The 17863-nt window shown below is 43.5% G+C and overlaps 1 protein-coding gene across 5 annotated transcripts in view, besides 5 other annotated features; it reads left to right on the top strand.

Moving 5' to 3' along the window:
• MAPKAP1 (MAPK associated protein 1) overlaps positions 1-17863 on the top strand; it is a 269815-nt gene that overhangs the window by 209461 nt on the left and 42491 nt on the right. For 4 of the 5 annotated variants that reach the window (NM_001006621.2, NM_001006620.2, NM_024117.4 and 1 more), the window contains one exon: positions 13165-13305. The exons of the other annotated variant lie outside the window; for it this stretch is intronic. In NM_001006621.2, the coding sequence (NP_001006622.1) occupies positions 13165-13305 (141 nt within the window). The remainder of the gene's footprint in view (positions 1-13164; positions 13306-17863) is intronic. 5 annotated transcript variants of the gene reach the window in all.
• Positions 1949-2736: an enhancer, noted in NCBI's record as "H3K27ac-H3K4me1 hESC enhancer chr9:128257291-128258078 (GRCh37/hg19 assembly coordinates)". NCBI's record gives its function as "activates a minimal SCP1, AML or CMV promoter by ChIP-STARR-seq in primed H9 embryonic stem cells {active_cell/tissue: H9 hESC(primed)}" and the evidence as "EXISTENCE:reporter gene assay evidence [ECO:0000049][PMID:30033119]".
• Positions 13161-13327: a silencer, noted in NCBI's record as "fragment chr9:128246700-128246866 (GRCh37/hg19 assembly coordinates)". NCBI's record gives its function as "represses an EF-1alpha promoter that drives an FKBP-Casp9 reporter gene in an ReSE screen in phorbol 12-myristate 13-acetate-treated (for megakaryocytic differentiation) K562 erythroleukemia cells {active_cell/tissue: K562(+PMA)}" and the evidence as "EXISTENCE:reporter gene assay evidence [ECO:0000049][PMID:32094911]".
• Positions 16115-16295: a silencer, noted in NCBI's record as "fragment chr9:128243732-128243912 (GRCh37/hg19 assembly coordinates)". NCBI's record gives its function as "represses an EF-1alpha promoter that drives an FKBP-Casp9 reporter gene in an ReSE screen in phorbol 12-myristate 13-acetate-treated (for megakaryocytic differentiation) K562 erythroleukemia cells {active_cell/tissue: K562(+PMA)}" and the evidence as "EXISTENCE:reporter gene assay evidence [ECO:0000049][PMID:32094911]".
• Positions 16451-16950: an enhancer, noted in NCBI's record as "H3K4me1 hESC enhancer chr9:128243077-128243576 (GRCh37/hg19 assembly coordinates)". NCBI's record gives its function as "activates a minimal SCP1, AML or CMV promoter by ChIP-STARR-seq in naive H9 embryonic stem cells {active_cell/tissue: H9 hESC(naive)}" and the evidence as "EXISTENCE:reporter gene assay evidence [ECO:0000049][PMID:30033119]".
• Positions 16951-17452: an enhancer, noted in NCBI's record as "H3K4me1 hESC enhancer chr9:128242575-128243076 (GRCh37/hg19 assembly coordinates)". NCBI's record gives its function as "activates a minimal SCP1, AML or CMV promoter by ChIP-STARR-seq in naive and primed H9 embryonic stem cells {active_cell/tissue: H9 hESC(naive and primed)}" and the evidence as "EXISTENCE:reporter gene assay evidence [ECO:0000049][PMID:30033119]".

The following is a 17863-nucleotide window of genomic DNA, read 5'->3' as shown; positions in this document are numbered from 1 at the left end:
TATCCCTGACTAGTCTGTCATTCACAGTGCTTAAAGCACAGTCATTAGAATCAGGCAGACCTTGGGTGAACCACTTGCAGCCTGTGACAGTGGACAAATTATGTCATCTCTGATTTCATGTGTAAATGGAGGTGAATGAATCTATTTCACAAGGATTTGGTGAGAATTGAATGAGATATAAGTGCTCTTATTATAACAACATTTTAGGCCATGTAGTCATCATCCTTGTTTTATAGAAGAGGAAACTGAGGGGTGAAGTGATTTGCTAATATCACATGAACAATAATGAGAGGCCTGGAAAACTGTCTTTTATTCATTAAGTCTGGTGAAAGAGCTGAATCTAATTATTGTATTTCCTAAATAGAAGGTGGTGTAGAGAGAGACTTCAGTTGCTCTGTAAACATTAATTCAGCTTCCTTTGATCTTTCCTTTTGAAGGAGATTCACAGAATGTTTAAGTTCATCCATTATTTCAGCACTTAATGAAATTCTCATTTCCTAATTTTAAGGTTATACTGAGGAAGGGCCTCAACTCACCAGGTGGGTAGTCATGCAGGAGGGTGGACTATGGGAAGGAAGAACATCCAGAGGTCTTAGTCTGAGAGCCCTCATTTACCTTCTTAATTTTCCCCCTGAGGCCCCAGGAGAGGAGGCAACTCCTAGGAGCTGCCCAGATTACCTGGCTGCCCCTCCATGGGCTCGTTACAGTTCCTACCTTTACTCCTCTCTGATCACTGATTCCCCTGAATGGATTTGCCAAGTCCCACACTAGACTGTGACCACCCCTCACACTGGAGAGGAACCCAGTCTGAGTCCCCTCTGCATCCTGGTGTCTGTGGCCAGGCCTGGCTCTTTCCCCCTGATAGAGTGAGCCTCCTGAGCCCCTCACATCTCCAGGCTTCTCACTGGACCAAGTACAAGATGGCTTTTAAGGAGAACTTGGGTTTGAATAAGCGTCTTTAAGTGTAGGGGTTTCTTTGTTGGACTACCACCACCACTACAAAATAGAAACGGAGAGAGGGAAGAAGCAGCTGTAGAAAGAGGATGAAAGTCAGCTTTATCCTGGTGTGCTTCCGACCCTCTTTGTGATGCTTATTTATAACGGGCTGATTCTTCCTCCTGCGTGTGCTCTGTGCCAGCTCTGGAGACTCCCTGGTGGTTCCATGCTGCTTCTGGAGGCTCTGCCTCCTTCAGTTACAAATTACTGATCTCCCCAATTTCTATCATGTGACTTAAGCACCTCCTTTATTATACCACAACAGCACTCTTCAAATACACAAGAAAATGTGATCATGCAAATAAACTCTTATTTACAAATGAAAATGACTTGTGATGTTCGTTTTACATATTTTAGGTTGTTATTGCTGAAAGCCAGTTAACCTGTCTGGCTTTAGCGGGGAGGTGTTCACTGTAAGGAATTTTCTGTAGGGTGAGGATTTTTATCCAAGTCGATATTGCATAATAGCTCCCTGTTTGCTGCACGCTATTAGAATTTAAATGAAACAGAAACATTATTCGCCACATACCTGTGAGTCCTTGTCTTCCTCTCTGGTTAATGTGGACTGGTTCGCACTATAAAGGCAGGATATTTGGCACCACTGTGTAACCTTGTACAAGTCCTCCTTCTTTGTGGGCCTCATTTCCCCTGCTGCAAAATGTGATGGTATTCCCTACCCTGTAAAGCGTTGTGAGGCTTAAACCATTGAAACAAGTCAGTGAGATTGTGTACAGTAAAAGCCCATAGTGAACTGCAGTGCACTATACAAGCGTTCACCATTACTGAGTGTGTCTGCCTGAGACTCAGAGGCCAACCAACTGTCACAGACACCATAGCTTGTCTGAGCATGTGTGTGGTGACCCTTTCCCTCCCTGTGATTCCTGTTTTCTTTCCCTCTAGCCCCTTAGACTTCCCACAGGCCCCTTTGGGCATTGGCCAGCACCAAGGGTAGCTGACACCTGGGGCAAAAAGCTGTGCTGACCTGTCTTGAAGCAAACTTGTGCCTTGTCCACAGCTACTTTTCAGTAATGAGTGTCTGAATTGTGCTGTGTGGGCTGAGAACTTCCACATGATTTGCATTTTTCACTCTCTTCTTTCTCTAAAAGTTCCCCCGTTTCCGTTTTATCATTAGGTAGTAATTAGTATTCAAGGGAAATTGGTCTTAATATATTAAAATTGGTTTAAGTGCATTTAGACCTGTACCACAGCCAATGTCTTATTGGAAAATGTAATTGGGGACTCTGTGTATGTAATTAATTGAATTACAATTAAGAACTTTCATTAAGCGATACACTGGTACATTAGAGCAGTAAGGAAGCATGTTTGATGAGCCACAAACCCTGTCTGGGCTCTAAGTGAGGGCATGGAGATTTGCATCCCTCTGATAGGCTCCTGGCCCCAGAATTCGCCCTGAAGGTCCTGACTAATGGTTTGGTAATGCATCAGGTGACATTTCTGCAGTGACTCTGAATGGGAGGTGGGATTCTTCCAGCGGATATGCCCTCATCCTCTGACTCTCGAGTCAGGGAAAGGGACACCTTGGTGTTGATCAGATGTTACAGTTCTTAGATATTTTGCCATGTAAATTGTCAAAAATGCCATGCTCCTGAGAAGACCCCATTACTTTTCCTGGGCTTTGAACATGGACAAAGACATATTGGAGAAAGAGGAAATAATGAGAATTCTGTCACTAATCTAACTTCCAAGCAAACCCATAATGAACCATTGGTCCAGACCCTTAAGTGGTCATGCTTCATCCTGTAAAGGGTATTGGATTCACTTTGGGCACATATTTGTTCATGCATTCCCCAAACATTGATTGAGCCCTCCTCTGGGCCAGCCACTGTGCTGAGACTTAGCCCCACGTTATAGAGCACACAATTGTGATCAGTGCTGTGAAGGGTAGAAAAGAGTGCATAGCAGGGGACCAGAGCAGGTGAGAAGAATGAGAGGCTTGAGTAAGAAGAAAAAGGAGTTAGTCCAATAATGAGTAAGAGAAGAATGTTCCAGGCCAAGGGACTGCTCATCTGAAGGCTTTGAGATGAGAAGGAGCTTGGGGTGTTTAGGAATGAATAAATGGAATGGAATGAGGGAGAGTGTGCTGAAAGATGAGACTGAGGGATAGCAAGGGTCTAAGATGCAGAGCCTCGTAGGCCCCGCTTCCATGATCTGCTCTTTTTCGAAATTCTACAAACCTGAAACTGTTTCTTTCTGACTACCTCATAAAACAAGATTACCTTGATTTATTGAAGGGGGTCTGAAATCTCCATGTGGAAAGTCCTCCAGCCTGGCTGGCTCTGGCTCCAAGAGTTTAATCAATTAAGCACTGACAGCAAAGATCCCTACCCCGGTGGTAGCATGGCAGATTCTAGTGAAGGGTATATCCTACTGCGTGATCCCGATGGCTTTAAAGAGATTACTGCAGAGCGGTGGGCAGGCGGGGGGCATGAACGTGTGTGTGTGTTTTAGTATATCACCTATTGATTGTTTTTTAGAGACCAGCAAAAATAACTAGTAGCCAAAGGGAAGTGTTTAATAGAAGAGAAGTTTTGGGCTTATGGGGCTTTGGGGACTTAAAAGGCCTCTGGAAAAAAAAATGTGATGGATGCAGAGCGCTAAGGAAGAGTTTTCTCTGTGACTCACTTATGCATCCAGCTTTAAGTCTTACCGAGGGAGTGGAGAGTTAGGTTTTATCCCTGATTCCTTTGCTCTGGCATGGCCAGGCGTGACTGTGTTCTCCTTAGATACCATTACAGCCCATGGAGTTATGCATTTCCAGCCCATCTGAGGAACATTTTTACTCACAGAGGTTGTGTGGTGGTTAAAGGTGCAATTTTGGAATTAGACCTGGGTTCAGTTCCTAGCTCCAGCTTGTACTGTTTGTATGACTACTGTAGCAGAATGACATTCTGAGTCTCATTTTTCTCACCTGTAAAAAGAGGATAATATCCAACTTAAAGAGGCATTGGGAAAAATGGAATGAGATGACGTCTTTAAAATGCTGAGCATCGTGCTGGCATGCGTTAAGCACTTAGTGTGTGTTAGCCACCGTCACAGTTGTTGAGGCAGAACCCCTGTCCTTGACAAACCTAGTCTGTTGGGGAGTCTGAATGGAAAACGAGGAAAGGTATGTTAGGTGCTGTTAGCCAAGGTAAATACAAGGGGTGGTGTACAAACCTCAGGTGCTGTTAATGGTTAACCTGTGTTGCATCACACTTCACTTGTTCCATCAGCAGCATTTATTGAACATCTACTGTGTGACCATGTGCTTTGTAGAATGGGATGTTCCTGCCCTCAGGCTCCTTGTCTGGAGGGGAGTGCAAATACTTACCATGTAAGATACTTACCAGAAGAACCTTCAATAAAGGGCTATAATGCTTTAGGAGAGAGACAGGGGAGGTTCCATTTGGACTAGACCTTGAAGCATATAAATTTTAGAGCATAAAGGACATTCTGACCAAATGGTAGAACCTGAGCAGAGTCCAGTTTAGCTGAAGCAGGGCTTCTGCGTGGGGAGTAGCAATAAGACTTCAAGATAGAGTGGAGCAGAGAAGGGTTTATGTACTTCTCATTGTCAGTCACTTGTACTATTTTACTTAATTGTGTGCCAGGTGCTGAGCTAGATACTGCTCCACTTTTGAAGAACTACTCCCACCCCCACCATTTTCTTTTCCACCATTCCGCTTCACACACTGTGCCAAAGGCAAACACTTGGTGTTCCCTGTGTAGGTCCTCATGCTTTGTGGACTTTATGTTTTTTCCTATATTCCTCCATGGATTGCCTGTCCTCCTTTCATCATCTGGGAACACTGCCATCCCCCTAAATTCCGGAAGCACTAGCACAGCACCTGGCATATGGCTGGAGCTAAGTAACTGCTAGTCTAGAAGAAACAGTCAACAGGATTGTGCTATGGACAAAGGTGAGGATATAACAGAGGCCACTGATCTTCCAGTTGAGTTCTAGAGTTGGCATAGATCTTTTTAGAGAAGAGACACTGAAGTTGCTTTAATTTATAACTAGATTGGGGCCTTTTAGACTTGGTGTAAGACTCCTTGAACCATAAAATGAATGTTAAAGTCCCATGCAGTTTGTATCTATGAGTACAAGGAATCTTCCAGTAATATACGGTGAGTTCATCTGAGCTATGATTTAATGATTAGTCCTATTTGTTTGAAATAAAGTCATATAACTCTAAGTGTCTCCCTCAGTTCCAATTAAATCACATCTATGAAAACACTTTTAAAACTATAAAACAGTATTTATAATTAGCCTTGGTCTGATCACCTGAAAGTAAACCTATTGCTTTTATGTGTGTACAGGCTTTGCAGCTGTGTTTGTTGTCAGATTATAACACATATACACAGCTATAACTGCACTTTCGTTTCCCATTATTATTGTCCAAATAGATATCAGGGGCAATGAAAACATGGCATTATAACCAATAAAGTCAGCAGTTCTCAAACTTTTTGGTTTTAGGACCTCTTTATACTCTTAAAAGTTATTGAAGACCCAAAGAGCTTTTGTTTTGTTTTGTTATTTTGAGGCGAGGTATTGCCCTGTCGCCAGGTCTCGCCCAGGATGGAGTGCAGTGGCAAATCAGCTCACTGTAGCCTCAAACTCCTGGGCTCAAGTGATCCTCTCATCTCTACCTCCCGAGCAGCTGGGACTACAGGTGTGCACCACCATGCCCAGCTGACTTTTTTTTTTTTTTTTTTAACTTTCAGTAGAGATAAAGTCTCACTATGTTGCTCAGGCTGCTCTTCAACTCCTGGCCTCAAACAGTGCTCCCGCTTTGGCTTCCCAAACTGCTGGTATTACAGGTGTGAGGCACTGCACCTGGCCAAGCTTTTGTTTATTGAGTTACATCTATTAAAAATTGATTAATTTTAAAATATTTATTGAAAAACAGTAATTTCATTAATGTTAATGACAGTTTTATGTTTTTTTGTTTTTTTTTGTTTTTTTGGTTTTTTTTGAGATAGGGTCTCTGTCACAAGGCTAGAATGCAGTAGTACAATCACAGCTCACTGCAACCTCCACCTCCTAGGCTCAAGCGATCCTCCCACCTCGGCTTCCCCAGTAGCTGGGCCTATCGGAGCACACCACTAAGCCTGGCTGCTTTTTTTTTGTATTTTTTGTAGAGATGGGGTTTTGCCATGTTGCCCAGGCTGGTTTTAAACTCCTGGACTCAAGTAATTCACCTGCCTTGGCCTCCAGAAGTGCCGGGATTACAGGGGTGAGCCACCATGCCTGGCCCAAATGACAAATTTTATGAAAAGTAACTATAATTTCTTTAAAAAAAATTTTTTTGAGACAGGGTCTCACTCTGTTACCCAGGCTAGAGTGCAGTGGCGTGATCACAGCTCACTGTAGCCTCAACCTCCTGGGCTCAAGTGATCATCCCACCTCATCCTCAGTAGCTGGGAGTACAGGCATGAGCCACCAAACCCAGCTAATTTTTGTATTTTTTGTAGAGTCAGAGTTTTGCCGTGTTGCACAGGGTGGTCTCAAACTCCTAGACTCAAGCAATCCACCCACCTCAGCCTCCCAAAGTGCTGGAATTATATTCATAAGCCACCGCACCTGGCCTAAATTTTTTTTTTTTTTTTTTGAGACGGAGTCTTGCTCTGTCGCCCAGGCTGGAGTGCAGTGGTGTAATCTCAGCTCTCACTTCAGCCTCCGCCTACTGGCTTCAAGCGATTCTCCTGCCTCAGCCTCCAGAGTAGCTGAGATTACAGGCATGCCCCGCCATCCTCAGCTAATTTTTTGTATTTTTATAGAGACGAGGTTTCACCATGTTGGCCAGGGTGGTCTCAAATTCCTGACCTCAAGTGGTCCGCCCACCTTGGCCTCCCAAAGTGCTGGGATTACAGGTGTGAGCCACTGCACCTAGCCAGGCCTAAAATTTTTAATGAGAAGAGTGTCATTATTTTATTATATTGCAAGTTTCTGTAATGTCTGGGCTTATAGAAGACACCTGGATTTTCATATCTGCCTCTGCATTCAGTCCGCTGCAATACATTGCTTTGGTTAAAGTATGTGAAGAAAATTTGGCCTGACACAGATATGTTGTTGAAAAAGGGAAGAATATTTCAATAGCCTTTTCAGATAATTGTGGGTATTAATTTTTGTTACTATACCAAAACTCAAATGATAGTTTCTATTTTGTTGTTGTTTTTTTGTTGGTTTGTTTTGTTTTGTTTTGTTTTTTGAGACAGAGTTTCGTTCTTGTTGCCCAGGCTGGAGTGCAGTGGCGCAATCTTGGTTCACTGCAACCTCTGCCTCCCGGGTGTAAGCGATTTTCCTGCCTCAGCCTCCCAAGTAGCTAAGATTACAGGCGTATGCCACCATACCCAGCTGATTTTGTATTTTTAGTAGAAACGGGGTTTCACCATGTTGGTCAGGCTGGTCTCGAACTCTTGACCTCAGGTGATCCACCCACCTCGGCCTCCCAAAATGGTGGGATTACAGGTGTGAGCTACTGCGCCCAGCCAAGCTTTTTATTCCTTTGTGCACTTGTAAGAGAATGGACATGAAAAAAGTAAGTCATGTCTTGCTGTTGTTATAAAAATAGTATTGCAATTATGGACCCTGAAGGGGACTTGGGAATTCCCCACCACCACCACCACCATAGGACCCAGTGTGCACTTTGAGAACCACTAATTTAGAATTTACAGTTATTCGACTCAACAGTCTATTACAGTGCTGTTGCTGTAGGAGTGTGGTGAGGTAGGCAGGGCAGGAGCAGCCTTTAACCACTTGAGGGAAGGGAAAGGAGAAGGCACGTGGACTCCAGAGTCCAACAGATCTGTCCCGGTTTCACCTTTCCTAACAGTGGAACCCTGGGCAAGGTTTTGACCCAGTCTTGACACTTTGAGTGACAGTTTGAATCTCTATCTCTGTACTCTTATATTCCATGTTCTTTCTAATGTTATTAATCCCCAAGGCTGCCTCCCAGCACCTTCTCTTTCTTTCTTGGCTGCAGGCCCTAGACTCCACCTGCCTCCTTCCTCAACTCCTCTCTGCTTCCCTTTGCCTGCCGTGGCCTCTTCTTGCCATTCTTCACTGAAGACAGGTGTGAGGCCTCATTCCTCAGTTCTCCTTTCCTGATTTTGTATTCCCGAGACTTAAGCTGCTTCTCCTCCTGGGTTTTCTGCTTGTCCTCCATACCTTCCTACATTGTGATTGTCATTCTTCTGGAGCCTTGTTGTCAGTCCATTTGAGCTGTGGTGCTCAAGTCACTATTAGGCCCCACCCCAAAATTTGATCTATCACAATACATCTTTGAGTTATTGCAGCTTGAGCGTTTTGACACAATACATTATGGTAATCCGTGGCTTATAGAGACATTAACCCTCCCGACTTTGACAAAATACATTGTGAAGTCTTTGAAGGCACCATAACAATTTATCTTGTCATTCACGAGGAGACCCAGTTCAGCATTAATGTAGATGAACACAGTGTGGCTTTTGTTTCATTTAATTGCTTGTGACCTTTTTATTTGCTAATTTAACAAAATACCAATGGGTTATATTTCAGTTAAATTAACAGGGAGTAGTTTTTGTTTTTTCAGTATGTTTATTTTTAAGATGTTCTGGTTCTCTCTGCTTTTCACTTTGAGTTGCTAAAAATGTCTTCTCTTGAACAGAAGTGGACTTTTTAATGTGAAGGTTGTCGTAGAGTAATTTTAATATGCAGATGGTACAATATCAAGCATCTTTCATCTTTCATGTGTGGTTGGGTTCACTCCTTTCTGGAAAGATACAAACAGTAAACGTATACATGCAAAGTCATAGAACTTTTCTGGTCCAAAAAATATGCTTTTGGAATAATGAATGCTTTGCTTCAGGTATTTGTCTTTAGATAAAGTGTCTATTGCAGGCACCATTTTTAGGCACTTCTTTCTGCCTTGTACTATTTTCTGGCCTTTGGCTAATTTGTAAGCTCCTGAAGATCAGGAACCCTGCTTTATCCTCACCAGTGTCCCCCACCGTCTAGCATACTGCTAGCATGGGCAGAGAAGTGGTTGCACCATTGCATATACAATAGACATGACCCCTCCAACAAGTGGTACTCCTGAGCCTACTTTGAGAAATGACACTGGAGGCTGGGCACGGTGGCTCACGCCTGTAATCCCAGCACTTTGGGAGGCCGAGGCGGGTGGATAACCTGAGGTCAGGAGTTCGAGACCAGCCTGGCCAACAAGGCGAAATCCCATCTCTCCTAAAAATACAAAAAATTAGCCAGGCGTCAGCTACCTGGGAGGCTGAGGCAGGAGAATTGCTTGAACCTGGGAGGTAGAGGTTGCAGTGAGCCAAGATCTCCCCATTGCACTCCAGCCTGGGCAACAAGAGCAAAACTCTGTCTCAAAAGAGAGAGAGAAAGAAAGAAATGACACTGGAACTCCAAAACCAGAAGTTGATCCCATTCATCAGATAACCTGCTTTGGAGTGAGCAGCGTGAATTGGAGGCGAGTACAGGACTATTCCTTCTGTACTCCCTCAGGTGCTGTTATCCTTCTGATCATAAACACAGACATGCCCCTTGTCAGTTGGGGCAAGGCTCAGAACTCCCCCAGGTATCGGGGGGACTTAAATCCTCAAATGGGATATGAATTTACGCTATCAGAGAGTAGAAGGTCAATGCAAGAAGCATTACTGTGTTGAGCCAGCTCCAGCTATGTAAGTCTTGTACAAAATTAATACAAGGATATTGACAAGCCTTGCTGGTTATTTCATAGCTTTAAGACCTCTACTAAAATCCTATCATCTCATCTGCCCATTATTAACATTTCAGCAAAATATAAAGTTTTCATTAATCTCCCACAGCAAATTTAGGAGTGAAAACTGGCACTTGTTTGAGCTTTTAGGACTACATTAGCTGGTGTATTAAACAAAATATGTCATTCTTCAGTAGCTTCTGTAAGAAGCTAAATCAATTTCCAGCCATATTTATGCACCACTTTATCTAAAAGCATCTGAATTATCATTTATAGCTAAGATGCTTTATTAGCAGCTGGCATTGAAATTGCTCAGTAAAAAATTATATGTCACGTTATAGTAATTTTTAAATTGGTTTTAATCCAACATCATAAAATGTAAAAATCTTAAGTGTGGGTTTTTTTTTTTTTTTTTTAGTAATTGGCATTTTAGCATAATGAGCTGTTACCTCTTTCCAAATCAAATACCTGCAATATTTAGAAAACACTAATTAGTAAAGCAAACAGAAGTTCTTGAGCTCAGAGCTAAATTGTATCTAATAATAGCATTTTCTCAGAAAAGATGACTTGAAATGATTTTTAAAACATTAAATGATTTTAATATTTTACCAAAATTCTCTGCAATTCTCATGTATAAGAAGTTCTAAAATAGAAATAAAACATGTTTTGGCAGTTATGTTTCAGTAAAAATGACTGGAAAAAGTGAATGATTATTTGAAACTCCAAATCCTAACCAGCCTCAGTATTACCCAGGAGAGAGTGGTAATCAGGATCATGGCATCTCTGTCCAAAATCATAGGTGCTGCAAAGAAAGGAAAGGGGCTACCCAGTGGCCCTTGCAGATGTGGAGTGAAGCTCTGCAGTGTCCTGGAGGTGCAATGTTGGTTAAGTCACTCTGTCTCTTTGACCCTCACCTTCCTGTGGACATGGCACCTGGTATTCGTTCAGTACATGTTTATTGAGCTCTGCTTTATCCTCTGAGTGGTAGCACTGGCAGTGTCTGAGTTGCAGTGGTGAGAAAGCAGTCCCTGTGTTCTTGGGGTTATAGTCTAATGGCAGAGACAGGCAATTACTCCCTGTGATAACTGTTCTGAAGAAAAATGCAGGATACGGGGACAGAAGGAGCCAAACTAGTGCCGGGGGCTTGCGGCCAGGGAAGGCTTCCCTGGAGTGTCACTGGTGCTCTGCTCTTCAGTAGGAAAACAGGGAGGGGCCGGGAGAGAATGAGATGGGGAGAAGGGTGACCTGGGCAGAGAGGACAGCATGTGCAAGAGGCTCTGAGATGGGATTCTGCCAGAGGCACTCAGTGAAGGGCGAGGTCATGTCCTTACTGAAGGAAAGTACTATTGTGGGTGCTGGGATGGTCCAGGTTGGGAATTACTGTAGTGTTTGCAAATAGAACACAAATTTCCTAATAAATGATTTCACTGTGAAAGCATCAGACACCAACTTTGACTTAAAATACTTGCCCCGTAAGCAGTAACTGTGGGAAGGAAAAGCATATCATTGTCAGGCTACCAGTTTGTTACAAAATTTTCCAGTTTTATACCCAAATCTAGAGTTTTCCATTCCCCCTAGAGTTCTCCCTAGGTTTCCCTGTGGAACTGTCTCTGAGTGCTCAACACGAGGCCTAGAGCACCCTACTGTGGTCAGCCCCTGCGAGACAGGCTCCTCCCCTCCCAACCCATTCTACCCCCTGCACTGGTGATGGCACCAACAGCTGCATCTGCAGAAGTCCACATTTCAAAGTCCAGGGACTGAGAGATAGTTTAACTTTGCTTAGTGTAACCTTGGCATGTGACAGCCTCCCAAAGCCTCAGAGTTCTCATCTGTAATATGGAAAATTATAAGACCTTCAATGCAGTAACGTGTGAAATGCTTAACACCAAGCCTGGCACATGGTAAGCACTCATGTATACTAGCTATTATTTATCTAGCACAATTTAGTGAGAGCATACCAGTTGCCTTTACTGCTTGCAGAAGATATAAAAATGAGTAAGAAACTTTCCTGACCTTCACAAAGCTTCCAGATTAGGACAGAGCAACCACTAAGCAATTCTAGCACACGGCTGAATATAATCCACCCTGACACTAGAAGAAAAATAGTCACTGCTCTTATGAAGCATACATATTCTTTACCTAAATTTGGATGTGAATGGCAAAAACTGAAATTCAGAGAGATAAAGTCACTTGCCCAAGATCATACAGCAAATTAGAGGCAGAGCTAGGAGTTGCGGCCGCAGCTGTCGGGCTCCAGGGTCCAGTATAAGCCAACTTTTATGGAATTCACTTCCAGAAGAACCATCAGAAAAGATTTCACAGGAGAGGTAGAGTTTGAGCTAGCCTAGGGAGGGGTGGAGGGATTTCAACAGGTCTGGGTGAGGATGAGAGGGTTGTTCTAGGCCAAGGGCAGCACATGAGCAAAGGCCCAGAATTATAAAAGCCTGAAGCACTGTGCAGTCTGAGGGGTTTGAGAGGGCTGAGAGAAGGCATGTGTGAGAAGTGAGAAGAATATTGGTATGTTTCAGGCACATTATGGGCTGCCCCGATTGCCTGGCTAAAAAAGTGTTCTTCATTCAGGAGGCCGTGGAGCCAGGGAAGATTTTTGAGCACCAGGCTTCTTATCTGTCTCCAGTGTCACATATCAGAGTACTTAGCATGCACAGGGTGCTCTCTGAGCATTTGGTGAATGAATGAATGATCCAACCTTTAGAAAAATGGATCAGAAAGCCTGTGGCGGCTGGACTGCAGAGGAAGAGCCTGGTGACCAGGAGGCCAGTGATGAGACTGTCACACTCAAGCACTAGCAGGTGCCCCCTGAGCCAGTGGGGGCTCTGTCAGTAGACAGCTATGTCTATCAATAGACAGCCATGTAACCTTAAGCAAGTGTCTTAATCTTTCTGAGCCTCAATTCTATCCTGCGTGAATGGGAATATCAGTACCAATGGCTCAGGGTTGCTATGGGGAACGAGTGAAATCCCACATGGAGGCTGTGGGGCGCAGGGTGAGAGGCAGTAAAGAAGACGTTTTGGGAATCTTGGAAAGGACAGAGATTCTTCAAGGAATGTGGATTACTTTTGTGATTAGGAAAATCACATTTAGAAAAAAAACAAGACCCGTGACACTGCTAACACCACCCAAGCTCTTGTGCTTTTGACTCACTCCTGTGGACTGAGCTTCCTGCCAAGAGCAAGCAGGAATTTTTTTATCCTTGCATCCCTGCTGCCCAGCCAAGGACCTGCCATAGTGTTTGTGGAATTAATTGTTGAATGATTAATATGTTACCATTCTCTGTTTACTGGAATGGCATTATTAAGTCATCGCTCAGCCTTTTCTTCTCCAAATTAAATAGCCCATATTATTTTAATTTATCCCAAAGCATTTTAAGCAGACACCATTTGCCAAGCCTCATGTATCTTTATGTGTTAAACTGCCTTTTCCTCCCCAGGTTCAAGGGCAGACGGGGTTTTTGAGGAGGATTCGCAAATTGACATAGCCACAGTACAGGATATGCTTAGCAGCCACCATTACAAGTCATTCAAAGTCAGCATGATCCACAGACTGCGATTCACAACCGACGTACAGCTAGGTAAGTGTGTGAGCAGGTGATGAGCTAGCTTGTCGTGTCAGCAGTCGGTGTAGAAATGGGGAAAGAAACAACATACAACTTTTATGTGACCTGAATGACTAAAAGTAATTTGTTTTCTGAGAAAATGTTTAAACAATGGAATTTGAAGTACATCCTTTTTCCCACTTGAGTGCTCTGTCTTGTCTTCTTTTTTATGAAGCAGAAGATTAGAAATAGAACTAACTTGAGACTCTTTTCAAACTGATTGACTTCGGTGAAGTTCCATAATTCTTTTCATTCTGTAATTCTCTTGCCTGCTCTCCTTAGAACTGCTTTGTGACGGTGCCACCTGCCTGTTCTTAACTCAGCTAGCTCATTGCTTATTCATTCAGGCCTTTATTCAGGAAGCTTTTTAATGTCTCAGAAGGTATATTTGGATCTTCGTCATATAATTTGGAACTTTCAACTCATATTTGGGATTAATTTGTTCTAATTATGTGCTAAATTTCTGTTTTGACTTAAACCGGAGTAGGAAAAGTGTCATAGTAAGCAACATACTATTAATACATCATCATTATCATCATCATCATCATCATCATGGCTGCCTTTTATAGGTGTCTGCTGTGTATTAGTCACTGTGTTAAGTGCTTTACATGTACTACTTAACTACCTAAAAGGTGGGGTATTTTTACTGTCCCCATCTAACAGAGGGGGTAAATGAGGTACAGAGCAGTCAAGTCTCATGCCCAACTCACACAGTGGTTAGGTGGTGGTGCCAGGAGCAAACCCTGGTCTGACCAACTCAAGTGCACCTGCTCCCTAACAAAGGGTCTCCCATGTGATGGCCGAGGGAGAGGAAGAATGGGTAGTGATGCCAGGCTCACCCAGTCAGGGAGCTGAGCTGCACCCTGTCTCTGCCACACCACCTCTTCCTGCGTCTCCTTTTAACTCTTAGGGTTCATTTATTTTATGTTTCTCACAAATGCTTTGTATGCTTGTCATAATAAAATCTTTTCTAATGTTGGCATTAGTTTGAACCTGGCTAACTCGTAAGAGGCCTCAAAAATCTCCTCACATGTTCCTTTCCAACTTGACTGACAGGAACTTCCAATATGCTGACAATACAGCTTAGTGATTAAGAGATGGGCAAGAGAATCACAAATGGTTTAAATTGTGCTCTATCAATAGACAGCCATGTAACCTTAAGCCAGTGTTTTAATCTTTCTGAGCCTCAATTCTATCCTGCTTGAATGGGAATATCAGTAGTACCAATGACGCAGGGTTGCTATGGGGAATGAGTGAAATCCCACATGTAAAGCACTGAGTACGGGGCCTGCAGTTGTAAACTTCCCTATGTGAGAGCTGTTAGTTGGGAGGCAGTAGAGTGTGGTGCTCAGAGGGCTCACTCAGGAGTCGGAGGCCCAGGTACAAACCCTGCTCGTTTATTAGCTGTATCACCACCGGCAAATGATGCAGAGCCCCAGTTTCCTTATCTGTAAAAACAAAGATAATTTTTCAACTGTGAGGATGAAATGCCGCAGCACATGCAGAGAACTTAGGCACCTGGCCTCTAGCAAGTGCCTAGTGAGCATTAGCTGCTAAGATGATGGTGATTCTAGCAGGCTGATCAGATGAGACAGCACTCAGTAACTTCGAACCAAAGCAGACCCCACCTTTTTTTCCCCTCTGCATTAAGTCCTCACCTAATGTCATCCAAAGGTTCTTGGAAACTGTAACTTTAAGTGAAATGACATATAACAAAACTCATTTTTTCCCTTATCAACATTATAACAAAACGACATTGAACAAAATTATGTACATCATTTCACTTAAAGTTGAAGTTTCCAAGAACCTATGAATGACAATAAGTGAGGACTTAACTGTAGCTCTTCTTCCTCATAAAAACCTTAAATATCTAAAGTGGTGAAATTGCTTATTTAGTGTTGATTCTTAAATCATAAAGTCATTCAGTGTTGTTCCTCCTGGGGATGTTTTTCCTACTGTATTTCAGAAATAAGACTGATCAAAAAGAAGCCAGTTCTCAAAAATAAATAAAAGAGTACATACTATATGATTCTATTATATGACATTCACAAATACAAGGAAATAATCTTATGTAAGAAGTAAAGATACTGGTTATTCCAGGTAAGATGGTTGTAGTGGCTGGAGAAGGGCTTCTGGGAAGCTGGAAAGGGTCTGTTTTCTGATCTGGGTGCTGATTACATGGGTCTGTAGACTTTGTGGAAAAGTCATGGTATATATACTCATGATTTGTGCACTTTTTCTGTGTGTACACTTTCTTTCTTCTTCTTCTTTTTTTTTTTTTTTTTTTAGACAGAGTTTTGCTTTTGTTGCCCAGGCTGGAGTGCAATGACTTGATCTCGGCTCACTGCAGCCCCTGCCTCCTGGGTTCAAGTGATTCTCCTGCCTCAGCCTCCCGAGTAGCTGGGATTACAGGCGCCCACCACCATGCCCAGCTAATGTTTTTGTATTTTTAGTAGAGACGGGGTTTCACCATGTGGCCAGGCTGGTCTCAAACTCCTGACCTCAAGTGATCCACCCACCTCGGCCTCCCAAAGTGCTGGGATTACAGGCGTGAACCACCACGCCTGGCCACACTTTCAGTTTATGAAAGTAAGAATGCCACTCAAACATCCAGTTTGTGTTTAGCTGCAGTACTTGCCCAATAGCAAAGGGCCTGCTTTTTCTGAATGGGCCTACTTTTAAGAAGCCCAATAAGTAGGCTGGGTGCCATGGCTCACGTCTGTAATCCCAGCACTTTGGGAGACAAAGGTGGGCAGATCACTTGAGCTCAGGAGTTCAGGACCAGCCTGGGCGACATGGTGAGACTCCATCTCTGCAGAAAATACAAAAATAGCCAGGTGTGGTGGTGCCTGCCTGTAGTCCCAGCTACTCAGGAGGCTGCGATGGGAGGATCGCTTGAGTCTGGGAGGTCAAGGCTGCAGTGAGCTGTCATGACGCCATTACACTCCAGCCTGGGCGACAGTGTTAGACTCTGTCTCAAAGGAAAAAAAGAAGCCCAATAAGTAGCCCAACTGTGGTCAAGACAGAGGGTCAAAGCAAGGGCCCAGGTGAGCATCATCAGCAAATCCATCCCCGCTCATTCCCCAGTGTGAAAAGCGCTGCCTTGGAATGATAACCAAGATCATGGGCTTCTTTCCCCACTTTTTTCCAAAGGCAAAAAAGACAAACTTTAATTCATTAGAGCCTGACATGTAAATTATTTCAAAGGAAAAAGTCCACAAAAGGCTTTGTGGGAGGAGCCCAAGCTCTGCAGTCAGTCAGCACTGAGTTTGAATCCCAGCCTTGCCACTTACCTGCAGTGTCACCTGGACAAGTCTTTTCCCTTTTCAATCTTAGTTTTCACCATGTATGAAATGGGGATAATAATGTTTACCTTTTAACATTCTATGAAAGTGTCTGGCCCATAGAAGCATATTCTTTTTTTTTTTTTTTTTTTTTTTTTTCCCCGAAACGGAGTCTCGCTCTGTCACCCAGGCTGGAGTGCAGTGGTGCAAGCTCGGCTCACTGCAACCTCCTCCTACCGGGTTCACGCCATTCTCCTGCCTCTGCCTCCTGAGTAGCTGGGACTACAGGCGCCTGCCACCACGCCCGGCTAATTTTTTGTATTTTTAGTAGAGACGGGGTTTCACCATGTTAGCCAGGATGGTCTCGATCTCCTGACCTTGTGATCCACCCGCCTTGGCCTCCCAAAGTGCTGGGATTACAGGCGTGAGCCACCGCGCCCGGCCCATAGAAGCATATTCTAAGCAGTAGCTTATCGTAGTGTTATTATCATTGTCATTATTATTTATTTTGCCTATTGCCCTCTCTCCAGGTCCACCATCTTGAAAGTATTAAACCAGATCACTTAGATCAGGGGGTGGCTCTCCTGGCAAAGTTCCACTTGTGGCCATAATGGAGACTTGTCAGGTAGACATGAATGATGACAGTCATGCAAGTATCTCCCTGGTTGTTGGAAGTGAGGCGACTGGAGGCTGGGGCGTCACTTGTGAATGCTTGGAATGCTTCCAGTGACACACATGGCACCCTCTGGTGTAGAGTCGCATTTCAGAGGGGCTTCTAAAAGAGATGATGTCAGAACATTTGTTTCTGTCCTCAAAGTTCAGTCTTTATCATTATAATCAGAAATTTCATTAATTAGTCGTAAGGAATTTTGTGACAATCAGACAGACTGCCCATGAGTATTATATCATGCACTGAATAAATAAACCCATTTTCCCATCCCACGTAGATTACACAGGTATGTAATTGAAGACCCTCTCTCCCTCCTTACAAAGCAGATATCACCCTCACATTCTAACAACAACAAAAACCCACACCTAGCAATCCAGAAATTCTTTCTTCCTGAGACGTTCTACTGCCAAGAGTAGGGAGGCAAACAGCACACCCTGTATGAGTATTCAAGTGAGCAGCTGGATTTTGAGACGAGTAAATAATTTATTTTATTTCACCTGACTAGCCAGGTGCTTCAGGTCCTTCCTGACACTGATGGATGGTCACCTCCACCTGTCCATCCTGTGTCAATCAGAACAGA

Source organism: Homo sapiens, chromosome 9, assembly GCF_000001405.40.
Source record: "Homo sapiens chromosome 9, GRCh38.p14 Primary Assembly".
Lineage (NCBI taxonomy): Eukaryota > Metazoa > Chordata > Mammalia > Primates > Hominidae > Homo > Homo sapiens.
Note: the sequence above shows the minus strand (reverse complement) of the source record. Positions and strands in the feature narration are given on the sequence as shown.